Here is a 22,842-nt window from a genome sequence, read left to right as displayed (position 1 = left end):
CTTGGGGGTGGGAGGTGGGGAAAGCAGAACCCCGTGTGCCTGTTTCTGCGTCGTCTGGAGAAAAAGCTTTTCAAGATGTCTGATAGACCTTATTCGGTTCAAAGCTCTCTAAAGTCCTTCACCTTTTTTTTTTTAAACTTCATGAAAAATGAAACATTTCAGAGAAGTTACTTGCCTAGAGGCAACTAAGTCGCCTAATGGCTAAGTAGGAAAGCAGAAGTCAGTTCCAACATAGTGGAAATGGAGTGGAAATGCATGGCATACAATGAGCTATATTAGAAGGTTCCCATTTAGACAGTTTTCATGTTGTATTCCATGTTGGCTTCTACAGGGGAAAAAAGTGTTAGAGCATCTTAAGCAACTGTTTTTACTTCTTTCCATAGTGACTAGTAATATCAACAGGTGTCAAGGTCTAAACAGAAATTGCATTTAAAAAAAAAAAAAGTGTGTCAGCCAGGCGTTGTGGCTCATCATACCTGTAAACCCAACACTTTGGGAGGCTGAGGCAGGGGGATCACATGAGCCCAGGAGTTCAAGACCCGCCTGGGCAACATAGTGAGACCCGTCCCTACAAAAAAAAAAAATATATATATATATATATATAATATATATTTATATATATAAATATATATTCCAACATCCCACTGTTTATAGTATAGCCTCTTCTATATGACAATATGAAACACGGGTTTTTTTTTCACCAGGCTTGGTGGCAGGCACCCGTAGTCCCGGCTACTCTGGAGGGCGAGGTGGGAGGATCGATTGAGCCAGGGGGTCAAGGCTGCAGTGAGTTGCGGTTGTGCCACTGCACTTCCAGCCTGGGTGACAGAACAAGATTCTTTGTCTCAAAAAAGATAAAAAAAAAAAAAAAGTAAAAAAACTGAGTCTGTCATACTGTCATGTGGAAGAAGAGGCTATACTATAAATAGTGGGATGTTGGAATTTCTAAAAACTAAACAAGACACTGTTGAAATCCATTTTGTCACTTTGGTTCATCAGATTCATTACTCTTGATACATATGATGGCAACTGGCTTGTTGACAGTGTTTTCTTAAAACGTTCTGTCTGAGCCCTATATGCTGCTCTCAAGAAGACATTACAGTTTATTATGCTATTTTTTCATTTAGCATTTTCTGCAGGACAACTTACTGGTTCTTTAATTTCTGAAGTGTAGACACTTGTTTTTCAGTGCTACTAAATTTAGTCAAAACAAAATTTCTTTGATTAAAAACAGTATTTTAATTAAATTTTCTTCAGGCTGGGCATGGTGGCTCATGCTTGTAATACCAGCACTTTTGAGAGGCCAAGGGGGGCGGATCACTTAAGCTCAGGAGTTCGAGACCAGCCTGGCCAACATGGTGAAACCTCACCTCTTCTAAAAATACAAAAATTAGCTGGGTGTGGTGGTGGGCACCTGTAATCCCAGTTACTTGGGAGGCTGAGACAGGAGAATCGCTTGAACTCTGGAGGCAAAACTTGTAGTGAGCCAAGATCGTACCACTACACTCCAGCCTGGGAGACAGAGCACGACTCTATCTCAAAAAAAAAAAAATACTTTATGAAGTGGTGGGTTTGTTTTTTTTTGTCAGTTTACTGTTGATTTAAAGATTTATTATGGTGCCTAAATTTATCTTGACCTTAACAAGTTTATCCGTCTGAAAAAGCTGGCTGGCAAAAAATGTCCCAAGTTGTCACAGTGTCACTGACCCTTATCTTGTCTCTCCTGAAAAAACTATAACTTTGCTTTTTCATGTAACATTTATGTTTATAGACTTATGCTAAATAGACGAGTAGAGCACACATTATTTCAGTAATAGTTTATTGCTACAGGCTTCTGTGGTAGCATAAACAGAATTGAATGTGTAGTAAGAGTTGTAGGTTCCAGTCCCAGCTTTTTTTTTTACTTAGACAAGTCACTCTCCAAGCCTCATTTTCTTCAGTTCAGATATAGAAATATTATGTAACACACAGGATTCAAAATCAAATGAGAGTTGTGTGAAAGTACTTTTTATAGTATGAAGTGTTATATAATGTTAGTGTCTTTTATCATCTTTATCAGGCTTGGTCAGTCTTCAACTAGTAATGAACCATGTAACTAGTTTATTACATACGTGGCTGAGAGAAATTTAATTGGATATAAATACCAGTGTGATATGTCATAAAATATGCTAATCTGTAGCCCATATTTAAATAGTTATTTATAGTACACTACATGTATCTGTATTATAAATAGGCTTTTAAGGACAAAGAGAACATCTCCTTATTAAGCTTTAAGAGTTTCAGAGAGAATGCATATATATGAAACTTTTTTTTTTCATGTTGTCTAGGTGTGGTAGTGCACACCTGTGATCCTACCTACTTGGGAGGCTGAGGTGGCAGGATCACTTGAGCCCAGGAGGCTGAGGCTGCAGTGAGCCATGACACTACTACACTCCAGCCTAGGTGACAGAGTGAGACCCTGCCTCAAGAAAAGGAAAAAAAAAGTTTAGCCTCAGAGTAGGGTTAGGGGAGTGTCACTGTCAAAAACAGTGGAGTTGAAAGGGAGCTGTTTAGAGAAGATGTGCTTGCTTTTGCACATGTTTGGGCAGGCATTTGTAGAAGTGGTGTCCTATAGAAAGTGGAAAGAGAAGACAGCATCTGATTTCTACATTCATTCAATAACTGTCTAGTGTCCTGACTATGATGTGGGAGAAATAAAGATGAATATAACTCCCACCTTGTTCTTGAAGACCCTATAATCTGGTGGGAGAAGCAGAATATAAACCAGATTCAAATAAATATTGTGATAAAATATACAGGCTAAGAATGCATGGGAAGAAGTGATTAACACACTAGTTGTGGAGTACAAAGGGTTTTATGGAGGACTGGATATTTTAACTGCACCTTGAAGATTGAGTACAATTTTGATAGGGAAGGAAAGAGCATGTAGCTGAAGAAAAAACACAAAAGTACATTGTATGGCTTGGGGAAATAAAGTAGTCTAGAGTGGCTCTATTAATAAGGTTTGTAAAGAGGTGTAGTGGTATATGATGCAGGAAAAGTAGGTTAGGGCAAAAAGAAAACAGATCAGTGCCTGATATGAATTATACACTGGGCCAAAAGTTTTTCATATTTGCTATTTCATTTAATTTCCATATAGCCATGCAAAATAGGTGTTTTGACATGGGGGGAAAACAGTCTCAGAGAGTTTTACTAATTTGTTCAAAGTCTCACAGATAATAAGTAATGGAGCTGAAATTTCAAACCAGGTTGTTACTTAACTCCAAAGCTGAAGCTATTTGTAATTTGGTAACTATCTCTAAATTAAAAAAAAAAAGGAAAAAAGGTTATATTCATTATAGGACTTTAAAAATATAAAGCACTTTCACATGTATTTGGTCTTTATAACTAGTCATTAATCCCAATTGATGGATGGGAAAATTGAAGCCCAGTGAGATTATTCAAGGTCACAGAGTGAATAAGTGGCAGATTGGAAATGCAACCCAAGCTTTCTGACTACAAAGTCTCAAGTCTTTCCACATCATTTTAAGAAGTCTGGAGATCCTTTTGTAAGCAGTGGAAAGAGTTAGTGAACATTTTTGAGAAGGGGGATGACATAAACAATAATGTTTAAAAAGATTAGTTTGAGTTCGCATGTGAGATGGTCTGGAATGGACAGAGACAAGAACATTAATTATTAAGCTATTGTAAAAATAGTAATGATGTAGACCTGAACAAAGAAAGTTTGGTGATAATAAGATAAAAGAAACAAATTAGAGGCATTTGGAAACAGAATTTACAGGATTTAGCTTCTGCCTGCATCTACCGTGAGATACGAGGACCGTGCCTAAATAATAATGGAGGTGGGGACAATGATGGTAAGAAGAGGTAGATTTGGATGGAGAGAAAGAAATAGCTATCCAAATGGATGTATCCAGTGAGAGTTGGACAGCGGAGATGTGGGATCATATAGTAGGGCTATGTAACAAGTCCCTCTATAGCAGGGTTTGTTTAAGCTAGACTGTAAGTACCCAGAGCCAGTGAGGGTCTGGTTTATTTCTGCATCCCCAGAGCCAGGACAGTCCTTGGCACTCAATAAATATTTGTTAACTTTGAAACTGGATAAAGACCTTTAAGGATGGTAGAATTTTTTGAAAAATGTTCAAAGACAGAAAGCAAAAAGAAGAAAATATTTGAGGAAAGATTTGATAGAAACCAAGAAGCATTATGTAAAGGAAGTCGTGGGGAGAGAGTTACAAGAGTGTGAGATGCCACAGAGAGGCATTGTTGGAAGGGGATCAAAGATAGTGTTACTGAAGTAAAAGTTCAGGAAGAGAGATCGGAAGTCAACATGCAAAGAACTGAAGAGGAATGGGGGGAGAACTAGAGCCAGGCAGCAGAGAGTACTCTTTCAAAAAGTTTGGTGGTGAAGGAAAAGGGAGCAATGAGAAAACACCTTAAGGAAGAAGCAGGGTCAAGGAGGAATTGCAAAGGCACATGTAGCTCAAGGGAAAGGAGCCAGAGAAGAGAAGCAGATTGAAAATACAAGCAAAATGAAGCTCAAAGAAATGGAGGAGGATGAGATTGAAAAGACACAGATGGAGTGATCAGGATTAGGTATACAGATCTGAGCATGTTTCACAGAAAGGACAAGTTGAAGCCAAATTATAGGTGAGTGATTATAGACAGTGATTGCAAAGGGAGAAGAGCAGAAGACTAAGGAAATATTTAGAGAATGACCACAGGCAAGGGCAAAGGAGGGGTCAAAGAAACAGCAAGAGAAGTTGTGTAAATTCATTGTCACAAAAACAGATACACAACCAACCAAGTTTGAGAAAAAGAAGTAGCCCAAAGTGTCAAGCGTTGCAGAGGAGGATGAGAACTGGGAATAAATGGTATATATCCAGTATATTTGTACAAACAGTTCATGAACAAACACCTTAGAATTTTTTTTTTTTTTTGGTCTTTTCAGTTAAAGCTGATACATTCCTGTGGGTCAACTATGCAACTAACTCAGATTTTGAGGTGAATAGCAAATCTCTTTATCTATAGATGATAAGTTTAAATTGTGATGCAAATAAATTTTTCTTTCAAATGGTGTGAATGTTGAATCTAATTCAGTCCTGCTAATTTTGTTTAAAAAGCATTTGAAGCAGATGGAACTGGAAAGCCTACTTCTGTAAATTCCATTTACTCATTCATGCATTGCTTTCATTCAAGAAATGTTTATTAGTGTCTACCATATACTTTGCTAGTTACTGGGGTTATGAGGGGATATGGCAATAAACAAGAAAGACAATGTCTATTGCCTGAAGAAGTAATACCAAAAGAAGAAAAAACTATTTGCTGTATTGTTGGTAATAGAAAAATATTAATTTAACTTTTAAAAACAATTGAAACAATGATTAATTATAGTAAATCTATTTGAATAACTTATGTAGGCATGAAAATACTTATGAATATTATATATGAATATGGTAATTTTCCTCTAATATTAAAACTAAATACAACATTGTTATTAGAACAACGTGAAAATACATATGTACATGGAGAAAGGCTCAATAGAAATGCAAACGTGTGTGCTAGAATAAAGAAGTTATTGGTGGTTTTACTTTTGATTATCCCGTAAATTTTTTTAATTTTAAATTATTCTTTTTAAAAATGTCTTCTACTAATCTTTAAACATTATTAAGTAGTGAGAAATATTATTTCTACTGATTTATAAATATATCCATTCTTCACATTCACAGTGGGATTTGTAAAAGCAATCCTTGGATTTACAACCTTTTTTTTTTTTTTTTAGCAAACAAAGCTCTCAAGTTGGTGATCCTCAGGTAAAATCTAACCTACAGATATTGCACCAGTTATTTATTGCTACAAAAATGCTGCCTAAGAAGCCACCCAAAGGGCAGTGGGTTACAACAATAACTATACCTTTTTTCTTAGGAGTCTCTGCATTAGTTGGACAGCTCTTCTGGAATTATCTTCTAAGTCAACTGTGGGTTGGGTAGGTGGCTCTGCTGATTTTTCGCTGGACTTCCACATTTGGGACGAGTTGGCTGTCATCAGCTCTAGAAAGGGTGTGGCCGTTTTACATTGGCTGTTTTCCTCACATTCCTCAAGCAGGTAAGCTTAATCATGTTCTCATATTGAAGCAGAAACTGTTTACTCATTTATCTATTTACTTACTGGGTCTCCTGGGCACTAGGTACTGTAATAAAGAACTGGAGAAATACAGTCAGATGGGAAGTAGCCCTTGCTGTCAAGGAGCTTGCCATCTAATGGGGGAGACAGGCAAGTAAACCAAAGACTACACAGTGCAGTATGGTAAGTGCCATGATTTTGATGTGACAGGGCACAGTGGACGACCTTCCAAATCAAAGCAAGTAACTAGGGGTTGACAATGGTAAGTATCATAGTTGAAGTATCCTTGAACAAGGTTTCAGGAAGAAGAAGAAGGGAATTTCATGCAGGGAAACAGCCAAAGCTCAGTGAGTCAAAATATCACAGCATTCTTGGTAAGCCCAATTGTTTTTTCTGTTTTGCTATTTTGGTGGAGAGAAAGGAACACATAAAGGAATAACATGAGAGAAGGCTATTTGGGGAAGTGTAGTAGTTAAGGTTCTGGCTCAAACAACAACTGCAGCTCATAAAGTTGACTTTAGTGGAAGGATACTGGGGTATCTCATGGAATCTTGGGAACTGTTGAATAACCAGGGAAACTCTGGGAAACTCACTGGTAGGAATCCATAAACTGTCCTCCTGGTGGGCTGTAAACAACTCACCCTCTATGCATCTCACATCAAAATTCCAGTTTCTTGGGAAAACAAGTCTGTTTGCCCAATTTGGGTCATATTTCCACGTCCATGTTACTCAGGCATGATTCATCTGCAAGTTATGTGTATAGATATTTTGCTACTGTTCCACCCTTACGCTGTGCTGGGGAGGGAGGTGTCACTGTGAGCTGTGTCGGTGCCTTAAGAGATATCTGTTGTGTCTTATTACTTGGTTGCTTTTCCCCACATGTACAATGACAAAAATGCCTTCAACCTATTTGATCCAGCCGTTCCAGTACAACTCCTATACTTGCCATCTTTCCAAGCCCAAAGGTACATCCAGCTGATGGAAGGAGCATCTTGGTGTTAATATTCTTTTAGTCATGGTCTCTGAAAGTAAAATGTCTATTCTTCTAATTCTGGCACAATCTTATCTAGCTATAGTTCCTCATGGTCCTGCACTCCATGGACTAAATTGTAAGTATAATTACTACCAATGTACTCTATAAATAACTTTTGGGGCCAGGGTGGCAATAGTTGCTAGAGAGAAAAAAAAAAAAAAGGAAGGAGAAGAAAACAGTGATAGTTCTTATTTTAAAAGGAAAAAAAGAGGCAGGAGGCTCTCTTGAGGCCAGGAGTTTAAGACCAGCCTAGGCAGCATTTCAAGACCCTGTCTCTACTAAAAAGTAAAAAAAAAATTTAGTCAGGCATGGTGGCATGCACCTGTAGTCGTAGCTACTCAGGAGACTGAGGTGGGAGGATTGATTGAGCTCAGGAGTTTGAGGCTGCAGTGAGCAATCATCATGCCATTGCACTCCAGCCTGGGCATCAGAGCAAGACCTTGTCTTTTAGGAAAAAAAGGCAGGGAAGAGGAATAGGTAATTTTTCAGTGTTCAGACATTCCAGCAATATGTGTGGAGTACTCATTCTCACTACAGTTTATGAGGCCATAGCTAGTATGTATGACTACCCATCCAAGTTTCCCTGCTTACAGTTACTATTCCAACTGATTGGGGGGCTTTTCCTAATAGAGTGATTTAAGCCTTCATTTTTAGACATCTAAGCCCTTGGTGATCATCAGCATAAAATGTGACAAATTAAACAAAAGCAAGACAGCACATCAGAGAACAACTCTGAGGTGGAATGATTGGGAACCAATGAATAGTTGTTCAGTAAATGGTTTATATTTTACAGATGATGAAACTGAAACACAAAAAATTTAGATTAACTCTTAGGTGACAAAGCCAGGATTGAAGCTCATGCGGTCTGGCTCCAGAACAACTCTTCTTCATAGTTACGTTATACTGCCCCTGCATTGTTGGTATTGAAAGTAAGTGTAGGCCCTGGGCCTTCTATACCTGGGATTAAGTCACATATTCCTCTTCCTCTTCAAATTTTACTAGTCTTGTGAGCGAGAAAAAGCTACTGAATTTTTCTAAGCTCAGTCTTTTTCATTTATGAAATAGAGATATCCTTTGTGGGCCGGTTGCCGTGGCTCACGCCTGTAATCCCAGCACTTTGGGAGGCCGAGGTGGGTGGATCACGAGGTCAGGAGATCAAGATCAGTTGAAACCCCCTCTCTACTAAAAATACAAAAAATTAGCCAGATGTGGTGGCGGACGCCTGTAGTCCCAGCTACTCGGGAGGCTGAGGCAGGAGAATGGCGTGAACCCGGGAGGCGGAGCTTGTAGTGAGCCGAGATCACGCCACTGCACTCCAGCCTGGGCGACAGAGCGAGACTCCGTCTCCAAAAAAAAAAGAAAAGAAAAATAGAGATACCCTTTGTGGAGGCATGATGCTTATCATGTGATAAGCGGATTTCTAAAAATGGTGGTGGCTTTAAGCCTAGCACATAAAGTTGGGATTTTACAAGAAAAGTAGAGAGAATTGATCAAGAGATTTTGTGACAGAACAGGAAGTTAGAAGGCGGCGAAATGAGAAATGATCTGTGAGAGACTTGAGGAGATGAAGAGGTAGATATTCTCAATACACTGTAGAAAGCATGATTAAGGGGAAGGAAGTGAGAAACATTTTTTAAAAATCATCCTCCAGCTAATTTGGAGAACAGCCACACTTTGTAATATGAGCCAAGAGATAAAATCAAATTTGTGTCTCGGGAGGGGAAAATAAGCCTCTTTTCAAGTTAAATTCCCCTGCCACCTGGTTTGTTTTCTTCACTGTAAATGAGCACTGGGAAAAGAACAGGCTTTAGAGATTCTGCCCAAGCAATTCGCAGACCATTTTCTTGGTAATCACATTGTAGCTCTTTTTTCAGTCAGGCTCACACAGGATTTAATGCTGTTTTTTGACAGCAAGTATTATTTTTGACGTCTATCAAATGCACCAAAACATGCCTGAAATGTCTTATTGGAATGTATATATGGGAAGAAAAGTGAGTTACATGTATCTTTGAAATGACCTAATATAAAATTCTGCAAATTCACCTTTATAAGCTTGGTTATGTAACTTGACCTAAGTCATTGTTTTGGTTAAAACCTATTTATTCCTAATGTTCCATTATTGGAATGCTAAGCTTGTGGGAGTTATTTATATCCTATGCTCAAGGTCATCGTCTGATTTTTCACACAAAAAAATTTGCAACCTCTGGCATAAATGGGTTAAGGCCAACATTTACTACAATGAGCTAGTACATTGATTAAGTGACCAATTATAGTATTTTCAGGAGCATATGATGGCAAGTGGCATGTGGTTAAATTACAGGCAAAGTGATTGAGAAAGTCACTGTCTAAATACCAGTTCACCATGATGGCATTCACCATCAAACCTATCGTCTTTATTAAAACTAAAATTAGGGTTACTGTTTATATTTAGAACAGAAATATGTATCTTTGTGATTTTCTTGTATTTGGGAGAAAGGAACAACTTAAGCACAACTTAAACCTACGCAGATGCTTTTCTAGTATTGGGAGCTTTAAAGGATAACAAAATCGATTTCTATTTCTTTGGTATAATTATATTGATTATATTGGAAAAACATGAACCAATACATTTGGCTTTAAGATCTACCAGCTGGTCACATACAGGTACCCATGTATGCAAAATGTGTTTGATCTTTTTTTTTTTTTTTTTTTTTTTGAGATGGAGTCTCGCTCTGTCACCCAGGCTGAAGTGCAGTGGTGTAATCTCGGCTCACTGCAACCTCCGCCTCCCGGGTTCAGGCAGTTCTCCTGCCTCAGTCTCCTGAGTAGCTGGGATTACAGGCGCGCACCACCACGCCCGGCTAATTTTTGTATTTTTAGTAGAGACGGGTTTCACCATGTTGGTAAGGCTGATCTCAAACTCGTGACCTTGTGATCTGCTCACCTTGGCCTCCCAAAGTGCTGGGATTACAGGTGTGAGCCACTGTGCCCGGCCTTGATCATTTTAAATTCATAAATAATACTTAGCCCCTGAGTAATTATAATAAATATATAATTAATGCATATATCACCCATAGTTAATTAGGAATATTTTATTGGCTTAATGAGCAAAATATGATCATAAAATATAAGCCATCATAGCCCAGATGTATAGCAATAAAAGAGCTTAGATTATAATATCTCACAATACAAGTCTGCATTAGCAATGACACTGTTATAAAATATTTATAACACTTTCTGATTTAATTTTAAAGAGATTCATTCAGTATCTTTTTGGCATTTGAAATGAAACCTTATTTTCCCTCCACACAATAGCTGATTAAAAACAGCTTTTGAAGAGGTCCCAGGCAACACACACAGAGGGGAAATGGTTAGATACGTGGGGCATCTTTGTATTTTCACATTAAAATTCAATGTTATTCAGACCCAAGTAGATAGATAATAAAAGTGGCATTCAAGTTGGGAATGGTAGCACAAGCCTGTAGTCTCAGCTACTCAGGAGGCTGAAATGGGAAGATCACTTGAGCACAGGAGTTTGAGGTTTTAGTGCACTGTGATTGCACCTGTGAATAGCCACTGCACTTCAGCCTAACATAGCAAGACCCCATCTCTTTTTTTAAAATGTTACATTTATAATCAGTGAGGAAAATATAAACTATACAATAAATGAAAGGGTCATTGGCCAATTGTTTGGAGGGAAAAAATACACCATGTTCTAAAATAAATTTCTAGTGATTTATTGTGACTTTCATGCATTTGGATGATTTTAAAGATTTTATATAAAAATGAAACCATAGCCTTACGAGAAGAAAATATAAAGAAAAACTTGTATAGTCTTGGGAGGGGGGATTATATTATGTGAAACATTAAGTAAAATATTTATTTTTTAAATATTAAAAAACTAAAAACTGTGCTTTAGAAGTCACCAAAAAATTAAAGGGCAGGCTGGGCATGGTGGATCACACCTGTAATCCCAGCTTTGGGAGGCTGAAATGGGAGAATCACTTGAGGCGGGGAAGTTCGAGACCAGCCTGTGCAATATAACAAGACCCCCATCTCTCCAAAAAAAAAAAAAAAAAAAAAAAAAAAAAAAAAAAAAAGCCAGGCATAATGGCGTGTGCCTATAGTCCTAGCTACTCAGGAGGCTGAGATGGGATGATTGCTTGAGCCCAGGAGTTTGAGGCCACAGTAAGCTATGATTGCACTATTGCACTCTAGCCTGGGTAACAGTGTGAGAACGAGACCCTGTCTCAGAAAAAAGAAAAAAAGAAAAAGAAAAAGGGCAAGTGCCAAATGGAAAGAGAAAAAAAAAGGACTAACAATTAGGAAGTCTTACATATCAGTAAGGAAAAGATAAATAGCCAAACAGAAAAATGGGCAAAGGACTTGTACTGGTAAATCAGAAAAGAAGAAATGAAAAGGGTCAGCAAAGATTTTTTTTTCATTTCCATCAATAATAAAAGATGCAAATCAAAGCAACATTAAAATACCATTTTGCCTATCTAATTGGTAAGGATTATTTTTAAAGATAATACTCAGTATTAGAGAAGGTAATTAATAATGTGTGCCACAAGATGTTCATTGCAGTGTCCTTCCTTCCTCCCTCCCTTCTTTCCTCCCTCCCTCTTTCCCTTCTTTGCTCTCTCTTTCTTTTTTCTTTATCTTTTTTTGGTATATGTTTGATATTGGTGAAAAACTGAAAAATGAAAATGACCAACAAAAAGAGGACTGGTTAACTAAAGTATGGTAAATTCCTTCAACCAAACATCAACACTATTCAACCAATAAAAATGACACTATAGTTAATATATTTGAAAAGATGTTCATAATATATGAAGTTTTTGTTTTGTTTTGTTTTCTTAGACGGAGTCTTGCTCTGTCGCCAGGCTGGAGTGCAGTGACACGATCTCAGCTCACTGCAACCTCCACCTCCCAGGTTCAAGCGATTCTCCTGCCTCAGCCTCCCAAGTAGCTGGAACTACAGGCACGCACCACAACACCCAGCTAATTTTTGTATTTTCAGTAGAGACAGGGTTTCACCATGTTGGCCAGGATGGTCTTGATCTCTTGACCTCGTGATCTGCCCGCCTCGGCCTCCCAAAGTTCTGGGATTACAGACGTGAGCCACCATGCCCGGCATATATGAAGTTTTAAAAAATCAGAATACAGAACAAAATTTATTGGGAGATGAGCTTCTTTCTTTCTCTCTTCAACACCATCGCCACATCACCTCCACATATACACACACTGAAAAGATACTGAAAAGACATAATAACCATGGGAAATGGAGATTACTGGATTGTTAAATGTTCTTTTTGCCTGTCTTTATTCTCTAACTTTGCTATAATGAACAGAAATTATTTTTTGATAAGCAAAAAATATTTTAAATTTAAACATGTAAAGTAACTTAGTAGTTGTCTTTTCAAAATATGTAAGAATCATTAGTTCACTAGTTGGTTAAATATGTTTTTAATCCCAACATCTTGATAATTGTCGCAAAATTGAGGGAACATTTTTTGAACTCTAAAATGCTATAGAATTGACAGATCATTTTTCAGTTCATAAGTTATTACTTATAATCAGTTTTTTTATTGTTACTATGGCAATATTTTATACACAAGAATGGCTGAGGTTAGGAATTTGTGCCCTGAAAATTGTATCAACATATCAAATATGAAGTAAATAACAATTTCTTGCTTTAAATATAACAAAGATGTGGGAAGAAGTGGTAGGCAAGAGTCTCTGTGTTACCATGGGAACGATTAAGTTTTCCAAGGTGCAAACCAGCCTCATTCCAGCTTCAGGGTCAATGACTTACTAGCTCAGAGGGAAATGTATAAATATTTAAGTACATACCTACTATCTGTACAGAGTGACTCTCATTACCCAGAGAACTGCTGTAAAATATTATTTATTCACAGATTACACAAAACCAATCTAAATTAGTACTTTTATACATTCTATTTGGGGAGTACTTAAGGTGTATGAGCAAACAAATTGTTATCCAGGTCACTCCAGAACTGTTGTATACAGATTAAGAATTGATGTTGGATACTAATTAAAATCATTAAAGCAAAATCAAAAAACACTTTGGCTAGCATTTCAATTATTTTTTAAACAGGATTTCTTAAAACAATCCCCAAAGTAGTCTTGTAATTTGTTCATTTTAAGGATCTATGTTACTCTGAGGCCAATCAAGGGGGCTAACAGTCTAGTTGGGGAGCCAAGATAGCCATTCATCAATTCATTCATTCATTCAGTAAAATGTATTGAGAACCTACTATGTACCAAGCAATGTGCTGGGCACTAAGCATTGAAGAATACCTGAAACATGGCACCTGACCTCAAAAAGCTTAAAATTAGGAGACATAGACATGTAAGTAAATAACTGCTATAGGCAAATCTCAGCAACTGCCACACCTGCTTGCTCCTTTAGCAGAACTTCTCTGATTGGCCATATTCTGCACATAGTGACCAACTCACCTCTTTTCCCTATCTGCTTTCCTTGCTATAGCTGAGAAAAAAGCTGTGGCCCAAAAGTTTCTCCCCTGAGAGGGACAGGATCAGATTGTCTTTTCAAGAGTTCCCATGTGCAATACAGAGCTGAAGTTGAAGCTGAAAGGATTCATAGAGAAAGGCCAGTATAAATCTTCAGCATACCAAAGTTATGAGAAAGGAGAAAGCTTGCAATGCATGTATAGAGGAGGTGCTGAGGAGTTGGTGGTAGCAGCAGACAAGGGAGGAGAAATGGATAGAATCATGGTTATTGTCAAGGTGGAGGATCCGTGAACTGCAACTGAAGAGGGCTAGTGACATGACCCAGTTCTTAGGGCTGTCTCTATTCCTGAATATTTACTTAATATAAGGCAATTCTTATATAGCATTAGGGTAAAAAAAAAAAAAAAAGGATTCGAAGTTTCCGAGAGACTTCTGTTTCAGCCATAACAGAATAGTGAATTTACCTTCCCCCAGTAAATAGCCATAAAATTAAATAAAGTAAATAAAACCAACTGTTTTCAGACATTGGACAATAGAAAGCACAGAACTCTATGATCCTTGAGAGAAGGGGAACAAAGAAGGTGTTAATCACAAAGCAATTTAATTTACATAAGCAAGGAATATATTAAACATCTATTTAGAAATCATTTGCATGAATGTTCAATATTCACTTTATTTCCAGAGTCATCCATATGTAATCTGGATTACTTAGAGGCTGTCACGTTAGCCAACATTAATGTATAATGAAAGCGCATCAGTTTAATATAAGCATCCACAAGTGACCATATGGGAGAAGCAGTTAACATTGAGCTTGCTGCAATACTAAGGGAGTTACTTTTATAAAAATTAGGCTATAAAAAAAAATTAGGCTGTAGTCTCCATAATGTATTATACAACTAATTTAACTCTGGAAATCTACCTATAATCCTACAAAATATTTGCAGATAATCAACTGCAAGTTCAGACTTGGAAATAAACAAAAGAACTACCCACTGTTTGCTTAAATCCGCTTAGGTCAGCAATATACCTGAAATTCAGTAGCTTGCTGTCAGTTAAGATGCCGTGCATTAACACTGAAGGAACTGTTGTGGAGAGGAAGCAGGGAATGATTAGCACTGAAACCACTGCACTTTTATAAGGAAGGAAAATTTTCTTTATGCGGGTATGAATAATACTAACAAATGAAATACTGGAACATGTAGGTGGAGGATACATCATTTTGGCTGTTACGGATGATGTCAAGTCATACCTAACCTGCTCATTGTATAAAACTTAATTAGTACTCCAAAGTGCCTTACTGTAACTAATAAAAGATGTATTGACCCCCCTGTGCTATTAAGATAAGACTGAGATTCTGTAGCAAAGAGACATCTCATGTCAGAGGTAAGAGGTCAGAGGTCAGTGCTTCGGGCTCCAGCAGGGTTCTGTTCCATGCAGTCATTCAGGGTCCTAAAGTACTTCAGTCTTTGTTTTGCCATTCCCTAAGGTGTTGTCCTCATTTACATGGTCTCAATTGGGTTTGAGTTCCAGTCTGTGGGAAGGGAGAAAGAGAGGCCCTGAAGGGCTGGCAATTTCCTTTTAAAAAGAAACATCACAGCTGGGCATGGTGGCTCATGTCTGTAATACCAGCACTTTGGGAGACTGAGGCTGGAGGATCTCTTGAGGCCAGGAGTTTGACACCAGCCTGGGCAACATAGCAAGTCCCTGTCCCTATGAAAAATGCAAAAATTAGCTGGGGTGTGATGGCATGTGCCTATAGTCCCAGCTACTCAAGAGGCTGGCTGGGTGTGGTGGCTCATGTCTCTAATCCCACCACTTTGGGAGGCCGAGATGGGCGGATCATGTGAGGTCAGGAGTTCAAGACCAGCCTGGCCAAAATGGTGAAACCACATCTCTACAAAAATACAAAAGAAAATAGCCAGGCGTGGTGATGGGCCCTTGTAGTCCCAGCTACTCAGGAGGCTGAGGCAGGAGGATTGCTAGAACCTGGGAGGCGGAGGTTGCAGTGAGCTGAGATTGCGCCACTGCACTCCAGCCTGGGCGACAGAGTGAGACTCGGCTCAAAAAAAAAAAAAAAGTGTGCTTGAAGATTTAGTTACAAGGTTGTTCACTGCAGAATTCTGTTAATAGCAGAAAAATTGAAAACTGTCTAAATATTTATCTCATTGCTTCCTGTGGAAGAGAGCCTTAAATGTGTCCATGGATACCAAGTGACAATATCATTACAGTTACTGCTCCAAGAACCATAATCTCATTTTGACATAAATTATTTCATTTAATCAATCCTGCAAGGCAGATGTGAATATGTAAATAAGCAGAGGCTCAGTGACCTTAAGAAACTAGTTTAAGGTCAAACAGCAAATAAGTAATATGGTTAGCTTTCAACTCAGTTGTGTCCAGTTCTTCCCACTCTGCTTCGTGCATCTTTTCTCATTTGTTTTGCCTAGCAGGACTGATGAGTGGAACACCTTGCTAAGGAGAAAGCAATGTGCACATCACAGGGCAACTCTTGATAAACAACTGCCTCACCAGAGATTGGTGGGGACAATGCCTAGCCTTCAGGATTCATCAGGGTGTTTGTTTATCAAGAGTAGAAACCAACTTTGAACTGTTTTAGGTAGAAAAGGGGAAACATAAGAAAATAGAAGCATCTCACGAAGCTAAGGCAGGAATGCAAGCAACCAGGTGTCAAAAGAGCTGACACTGAAATGGAAATATCAGCAGGAACTCAGAGAGAGAGAGCTTACTTTGTTTCTCAGTTCATTTTTTTTCTGCAGCATCTGGCTTTCTCAGTTATTCAAGCCATATGGCAGCTGGCAGATGGCAGCCACAGCTTTCATATTTACTTTTTACAGTTCCAACCACATGGAAAGACACACTCTCTCTGCTCCCATCCCCACTTCCAGATTCCTTGGGAAGGGACTCTGCTCAGCTTGAGTCAGCAGCCTATTTCCAGTCCAGTCACTGGCCAGAGGGAGGATGGGGGACGTTGTACACAGCTCTGCCATAGCTGAGGGGACCAGTTAATGGGTTCATTGTGAGCCATCAAGATATTCCAAAAAGTGTCTAGAAGACACTTCTCCATGTGACTCTGGACTGACCTAGTTCTCCCCCCGACCACCATTTCTTGGTTGTAGTTCTCAAGAATAATTTTTAAATGTTCTGGGAATGCAGTATCATTAGAGAGGAACTGCCTGAAACAGCCTAGGCCTTGTGCTGGGGCAGTCAGGGATGTGATTTTCTGTAGTTACACAGATATACTTTCTTGATGCATCTCTTGACCTTGAAACTCAGACTAAAAGGGAATTGACAGAAGTATTGTTTTTTGTTTTTGTCTGTGACAATAGTTGCTACAAAAATAAGCAATTGTCTTTCTCTACAAGTGACAACGACCAAGTTTGTCCAAAAGAATTTATTTCACCCCCTTAACATCTTGCTCAACTGATTTGGTGGTAACAAATTTAAATGCTAATAAATGGACTGATTCAAATAATCTATCACTAAAAAATATAGATGTATATTCTGATATTTGTAGTACCACTTATTGACAAGTAGCAAGGGTTTGTTTGTTTGTAGTTTTCCCCAGAAACATCTGGCCTTGTAATGCACATTAGCCATAGATTGCACTGGAAGAAAGGCAGAGAAGGATGGAAAAGACTCAGGCAGGGACAAAGCTGGGATAGCATTTCCAGTATATCAACATAAGGCCAGTTCTTTTTATTAAATCTCAAAAGTACTTTACTTGGAAAATACACAAAAATAATTCATTTGGAAAATTACACCAACAATTAATAGTTTGTGTGGCCTAAATTAGTATGGCATAAAGGAATACAATCTTAAAACCTTGAGCTACTCTAATCTGGATGGATACTTAATAATGTTACACAGGAAGTTATGTGGCAACTGTTTTCTGTCCAATGGGGAGAAGGAGTTTTCAGCTTAGATTCTACAGACAGTCCCCGATTTAAGATGGTTTGATTGAGGAGTTTTTGAATTTACAATGTTGCAAAAGCAAAATGCAATCAGTAGAAGCCGTACTTCTAGTAATCACACAATTGTTTTGTTTTTCACTTTTAGTACAAAATTAAATAAATTACATGAGATATTCAAAACTTTATTATAAAATAGGCTTTGTGTTAGATGATTTTGCCCAAATGTAGGCAATGTAAGTGTTCCGAGCATGTTTAAGGTAGTCTAGGCTAAGCTATGATGTTTGGTAGGTTAGTTGTATTAAGTACACTTTCTACTTAGGGACACTTTCAACTTATGATGGGTTTATTGGGACTTAGCCCTATCATAAGTTGAGGAGCATCTGTAACTTGTAAATTATTCTTTTATATAAAAAGATTTAAAAGATCTTTCTCCTCTTCACATTATGGGAAGAACACTTTGGAGAGAGAGAGAGAGAGAGACAAAGGCCACACCCCAGTAATGAGCAGAAAGCATTTTGCAGAAATAATTAAATTCTAGTTAGAAATGCCATTGATAAGAACTTGGCACATAAGGTAAAATTTAGGTTTCAGTTTAAATGTCCCTTCCTCCAGGAAGCCTTTTATTATCTTCTTGGACTAACTTTGAAGCTCCTGCTCTGAACTTTGATAGAGTTTCCAGATTGTATGGGACATATTTATAGTAATTAATAGATTATACATTATTTATCTGAAATTCAAACTTAACTGAGCATCCTATATTTTATCTAACAATCCTATCTATATTTCATCTTTTCTTTTTTAAGAACCTACCAAATTTTATTGTGATTGCTTATTTAAGAGAGTAAGCTGTGTAAGGTCAGGGACTATGTCTATCTGGCTTACGTTTGTATTTCTTTTTTTTTTTTCTTTTGAGACAGAGTCTCCCTCTGTCACCCAAGCTGGAGTGCAGTGGCGCCATCTCGGCTCACTGCAACCTCCACCTCCCGGGTTCAAGTGATTCTCCTGCCTCAGCCTCCTGAGTAGCTGGGACTACAGGCGTGTGCCACCACGCCTGGCTAATTTTTTTTGTATTTTTATTAGAGACTGGGTTTCATCATGTTAGCCAGGATGGTCTCCATCTCCTGACCTCGTGATCCACCCACGCCCAGCCTGTAAGATTTTTAAAAATATATTTATACATCATGTAATTTCAAGTACTCAAACTTTGTTTATGCTCTTCTCTTTCCCTAAATAGAATTTCCTTTCATCTCTGGTAAAAGTCAGCTCTCTAACTACTGCATCTCACAGCTGAACAGGTAAACATGTTCACTGGACCTGCTTTAAATACATATCCCTTAATGCTGCCCATAGCCAGACTATGTTTCCTTAGTCCATTCACTCTTCCACTACCTCTTGCCTTTTCTTTTCTCAAGCCTTCAATACCTCCTCCCTCATCCTCATTCTCAGCAGATGATCTTGTTTCCTATTTCACTGTAAAAGGAGAAGCCATGGGCTGGGCGCGGTGGCTCATTCCTGAAATCCCAGCACTTTGGGAGGCTGAGGCGGGTGGATCACCTGAGGCCGGGAGTTCAAGACCAGCCTGACCAACATGAAGAAACCCCATCGCTACTAAAAATACAAAATTAGCCGGGTGTGGTGGCACATGCCTGTAATCCCAGCTACTCGGGAGGCTGAGGCAGGAGAATCTCTTGAACCCAGGAGGCAGAGGTTGCGGTGAGCCGAGATCGCACCATTACACTCCAGCCTGGGCAACAAGAGGGAAACTCCATCTCAAAAAGGAAAAAAAAAAAAAAAAAAAGAAGCGATAAGAAGGAAATTGGCACAAAAAGGATAGCCCATCATGTTCTTTTTGGGCCTAATTCTCTTCACCCATTTCCCCTGTTCCCCAACTTTTACTAGACCCCAGGCCATTTTGGTACTAATCTGTTGGGCCAAAGGAAAAAAGTAATGGAGAACTAATGAAAATAATAATGTGTTTGTTGTATTTGTAATGTATTTCAGATAACTGATACCGTGCTTCCAGAAGATTTTTCTAACAGTGTTTGCAAGCTATAAAATAGTGCTTTCACTTAGAAAAGGCTAGACGTGGTGGTTCATGCCTGTAATCCCAGCACTTTGAGAGGCCGAGGTGAGTGAATCACTTGAGATCAGGAGTCTGAGACCAGCCTGGCCAACATGGCAAAACCCTGCCTCTACTAAAAATATAAAAATTAGCCAGGCATGCTGGCACATGCCTGTAATCCCAGCTACTTGGGAGGCTGAGGCAGGAGAATTGCTTGAACCTAGGAGGCGGAGGTTGCAGTGAGCCGAGATCTTGCCACTGCACTCCAGCCTGGGCAACTCCATCTCAAAAAAAAAAGAAAGAAAGAAAGAATTACCATTCTCATTCACCTTAATCCATAATAGCTTCAGAGCCCTGACTAAGAGGGCTCTGAGGTCAACCCAAATCCTCTCCTAGGACTACCAAATAGTCTCCTTTCTAAGATAAGATATTATATTAATGCTCATTTAGGCAGTGGCTTTCAGACTTTTGTTGTTTATTTCCCACAGTAAGAAATATATTTTGCATCTATAGCAAGACAGTTCAAACACATACAGTCACATTTATGACTGAAACGAAAGTTCATGAGACCATAGTTATCTTTATGATACGCAATGATGAGTCAAAGCTTATAATTTAGAAAATACTACATTAAAGAATTGTTAGAGGGAGCATAGGCTGGGCGCGGTGGCTCATGCCTCTAATAGACAAAATCTTTACGATTCCACAAATAGCTAGATGAACATTAGTTTGGAAACTACTCAACTATAACTCTCCACCCTCCACATACACACAAAAAGGAGTGCCCACATGCATGATTAAGCTGCTTGGCTATGAATAAATGACTCATATGACTGTTTGTCTAAGTGGTAAAAAGCAAAGCTGATGTAGGAACAAGTAAGGTAAAATCAATTAGGGAAAGGGAACAGCTCCTCCCTATTGTTCTTTTTTGTTCTCCACCAGCATAAACACTGCTATCCAAGTAGCCTCTGCATTACAGAGGGCTGAAAATTAAGCCCTGAATTGGGGAAAGGGACTAGATGGATTCGATGGTTTCTAAGTTACTTTTAAATCCTAAAACTTTATTCTCTTAATAAACATTTACTGATTGCTTAATACGTACCAGGCACCATGCTGGGAGATAAGGATCCAACATAAGACAAACAGTGCTGATGCTTTTGGAAAGCTCATATTCAAGCTGGGGAGACAAACAACATACAAGTAAGTAAATACAATGAAATTAATGTTGTGAAGGAAGTAACAAAGTCCAATGATAGGGAATAATAGGGGTAACCTACTACTATTCTTATCTATTATTATTATTAATTACTACCATTACGATTATGGTAGGAGTTTGACTCTATGCTGTGTCAAATGGGCAGCCATCAAAAGGATTTAAACAAGGAAGTGACATGACTTAGTTTTAAAAGAGCACTATATTGTGTGGAGAATGTGTTGGGAGGTGGAAAGAATACAAGTAGGAAAATTATTTTAGGAGTCTAGGCAAGACATGATAGGGGCTTGGATTATGGTGGTGACAAACTAAAATCCTGTTTTGTTTGCAATTAATAGACAATGAAAAAGTATTTTTGAATACTGATTTGAAAATCTTACTTATTTTGCCTCCAAAGCATACATTTTTTTTTTCTGTCTTTGCTAAATCATTTAAATCCAAGGGTTCCAAACTTTTTTTTTTTCTGCACACAGTATGCTAGTGGTGGTTGCTTTTAATATTCCAGAGCTCTGTAGTCAAGATCTTGAGTGTAGGAGTTGGTTGGGGTGGAAGGACTGTAATAAGTTGAGACTAGTGGAAAGAAGAAGCTGGTGCCAAGTTGCTGTGCAGAACAGGGCATAGGTGCATACTATAGTTCCTTGGGAATTCTATGAAGCTTGGGACAGTGTTGAAGATTCTGTATGGACAAGGCCCACCTTAGTCAAATAGGGGAAAAGAAAGATATATAAACTACAAGTTCACTTTGGAAAGGCAGAGATATCAGAATAAGAGAGTATTATTTGCATGAGGGTCTCAAAGCTTCTTGGAAGAAATGATACAAGAATTTGGAGTGATGATTATTACCCTAGAATACCATGATTATATTTCCTAAACCAAATAAGAAGAGACTTTTTCCAGCCATTTTGAGGGAAAGTGAATGGGGCTGCCTGGGAGGGCAGGAAATTCATCTAAGGTAGCAGAAAACTAAGATTTGTGGCTAGTGTTAGGACAGCAGCTGTCTGCATGTGATGAATTATTTGTTATGATACAGTTCAACGTTTCTCTGGCCTAGTCTCTGAGAAAACTTAAGTCTTTAATAAAGAACTGAAGAAAAGCTTAAAGAAAAAGACTGCCTCTTGGAGGATTAAATTGAGTTAGCCTAAGGGCCAGCTTTCAGCTCAGAGAGCTGTTACAAGCACCAGAAGGAAGGAGGTAGGAATCCCTCTCCCTACCCCACCCCTATCAACTTTGAGTAGAGCCCCAGCAGGAGCAGGGGGAGAACTAGTGCAGAGTCCTGGCTGGAGCCTTGGCAGAAGGGTGAGAAAGCTCCCAGGGCTGGGAGGCCACTCGGGACCCATGAAAATGGGAGAAACCTCACACGTTGGTTGTCCTTATAAAGAAAGGACAGGGTGGGAACTTGTTATCCATGTACCCAAAATCCCCAAGTGTGGCCTCAGAAAATAAAGGTTACATTGGGTGGGTTGGTGTAACAATTGCTGTATCCCAAAACAAGCTGTAGAATCTTTGGAGATTCACAAGAATTAATTAAACCGATATTAGTCTAGAAATGGTTTACATCCAGATTCTGCTTGGATCCGAGAAAACAGTTTCCCTAAACTTCCAGCCCCCAGTTTGCGAGAGAACAGTCACAGACACACATTCGGACTGATACTGTGTTCTTTCCTCCTACACATGTAGTTGAACAAATGCGGAAAACTCTAAAAATAAGTTCTCTAATCAAGATTCCAGATCGGGAGCAGGCTAAAAGAGGTCTGAGCAATGTTTTCATTTCTTAATGCTCTTGGTGGGTTCTTGGTGAGAGGCTTATTCTTAAAAAGCCCATTTGTAGGCTAGGAGCAAAGACGCTACAGGAATTTACCTGGTTGCTGACCAGTTACCAATGCATGTCCATGTCCATTCTGGTTCTTAAGCCACACTTGTAAACAGCATATAGACTTTTGTAAAAAGGCAAGTCAAAAGCTTTCATGAAGATATTGACATGCTATATCATGTATAAACATAT

At 38.6% G+C, this 22,842-nt stretch overlaps 1 long non-coding RNA gene across 1 annotated transcript in view, besides 1 other annotated feature; it reads left to right on the top strand.

The window, feature by feature from the left end:
* CCDC18-AS1 (CCDC18 antisense RNA 1) overlaps positions 1 to 22,842 on the top strand; it is a 35,703-nt gene that overhangs the window by 350 nt on the left and 12,511 nt on the right. Inside the window, exons 2-8 of the long non-coding RNA NR_034089.1 lie at positions 4,952 to 5,004; positions 5,783 to 5,813; positions 5,926 to 6,105; positions 6,188 to 8,085; positions 18,800 to 18,860; positions 19,567 to 19,693; positions 20,733 to 20,827. This is a non-coding gene — a long non-coding RNA (CCDC18 antisense RNA 1). The remainder of the gene's footprint in view (positions 1 to 4,951; positions 5,005 to 5,782; positions 5,814 to 5,925; positions 6,106 to 6,187; positions 8,086 to 18,799; positions 18,861 to 19,566; positions 19,694 to 20,732; positions 20,828 to 22,842) is intronic.
* Positions 16,201 to 16,310: an enhancer, noted in NCBI's record as "active region_1329". NCBI's record gives its function as "activates an Ori minimal core promoter by ATAC-STARR-seq in GM12878 lymphoblastoid cells {active_cell/tissue: GM12878}" and the evidence as "EXISTENCE:reporter gene assay evidence [ECO:0000049][PMID:35858748]".

The sequence above is a fragment of the Homo sapiens genome, chromosome 1 (genome assembly GCF_000001405.40).
Source record: "Homo sapiens chromosome 1, GRCh38.p14 Primary Assembly".
NCBI lineage: Eukaryota > Metazoa > Chordata > Mammalia > Primates > Hominidae > Homo > Homo sapiens.
The sequence above is the reverse complement of the archived record's forward strand: the minus strand, read 5'-3'. Positions and strand labels throughout refer to the sequence as shown.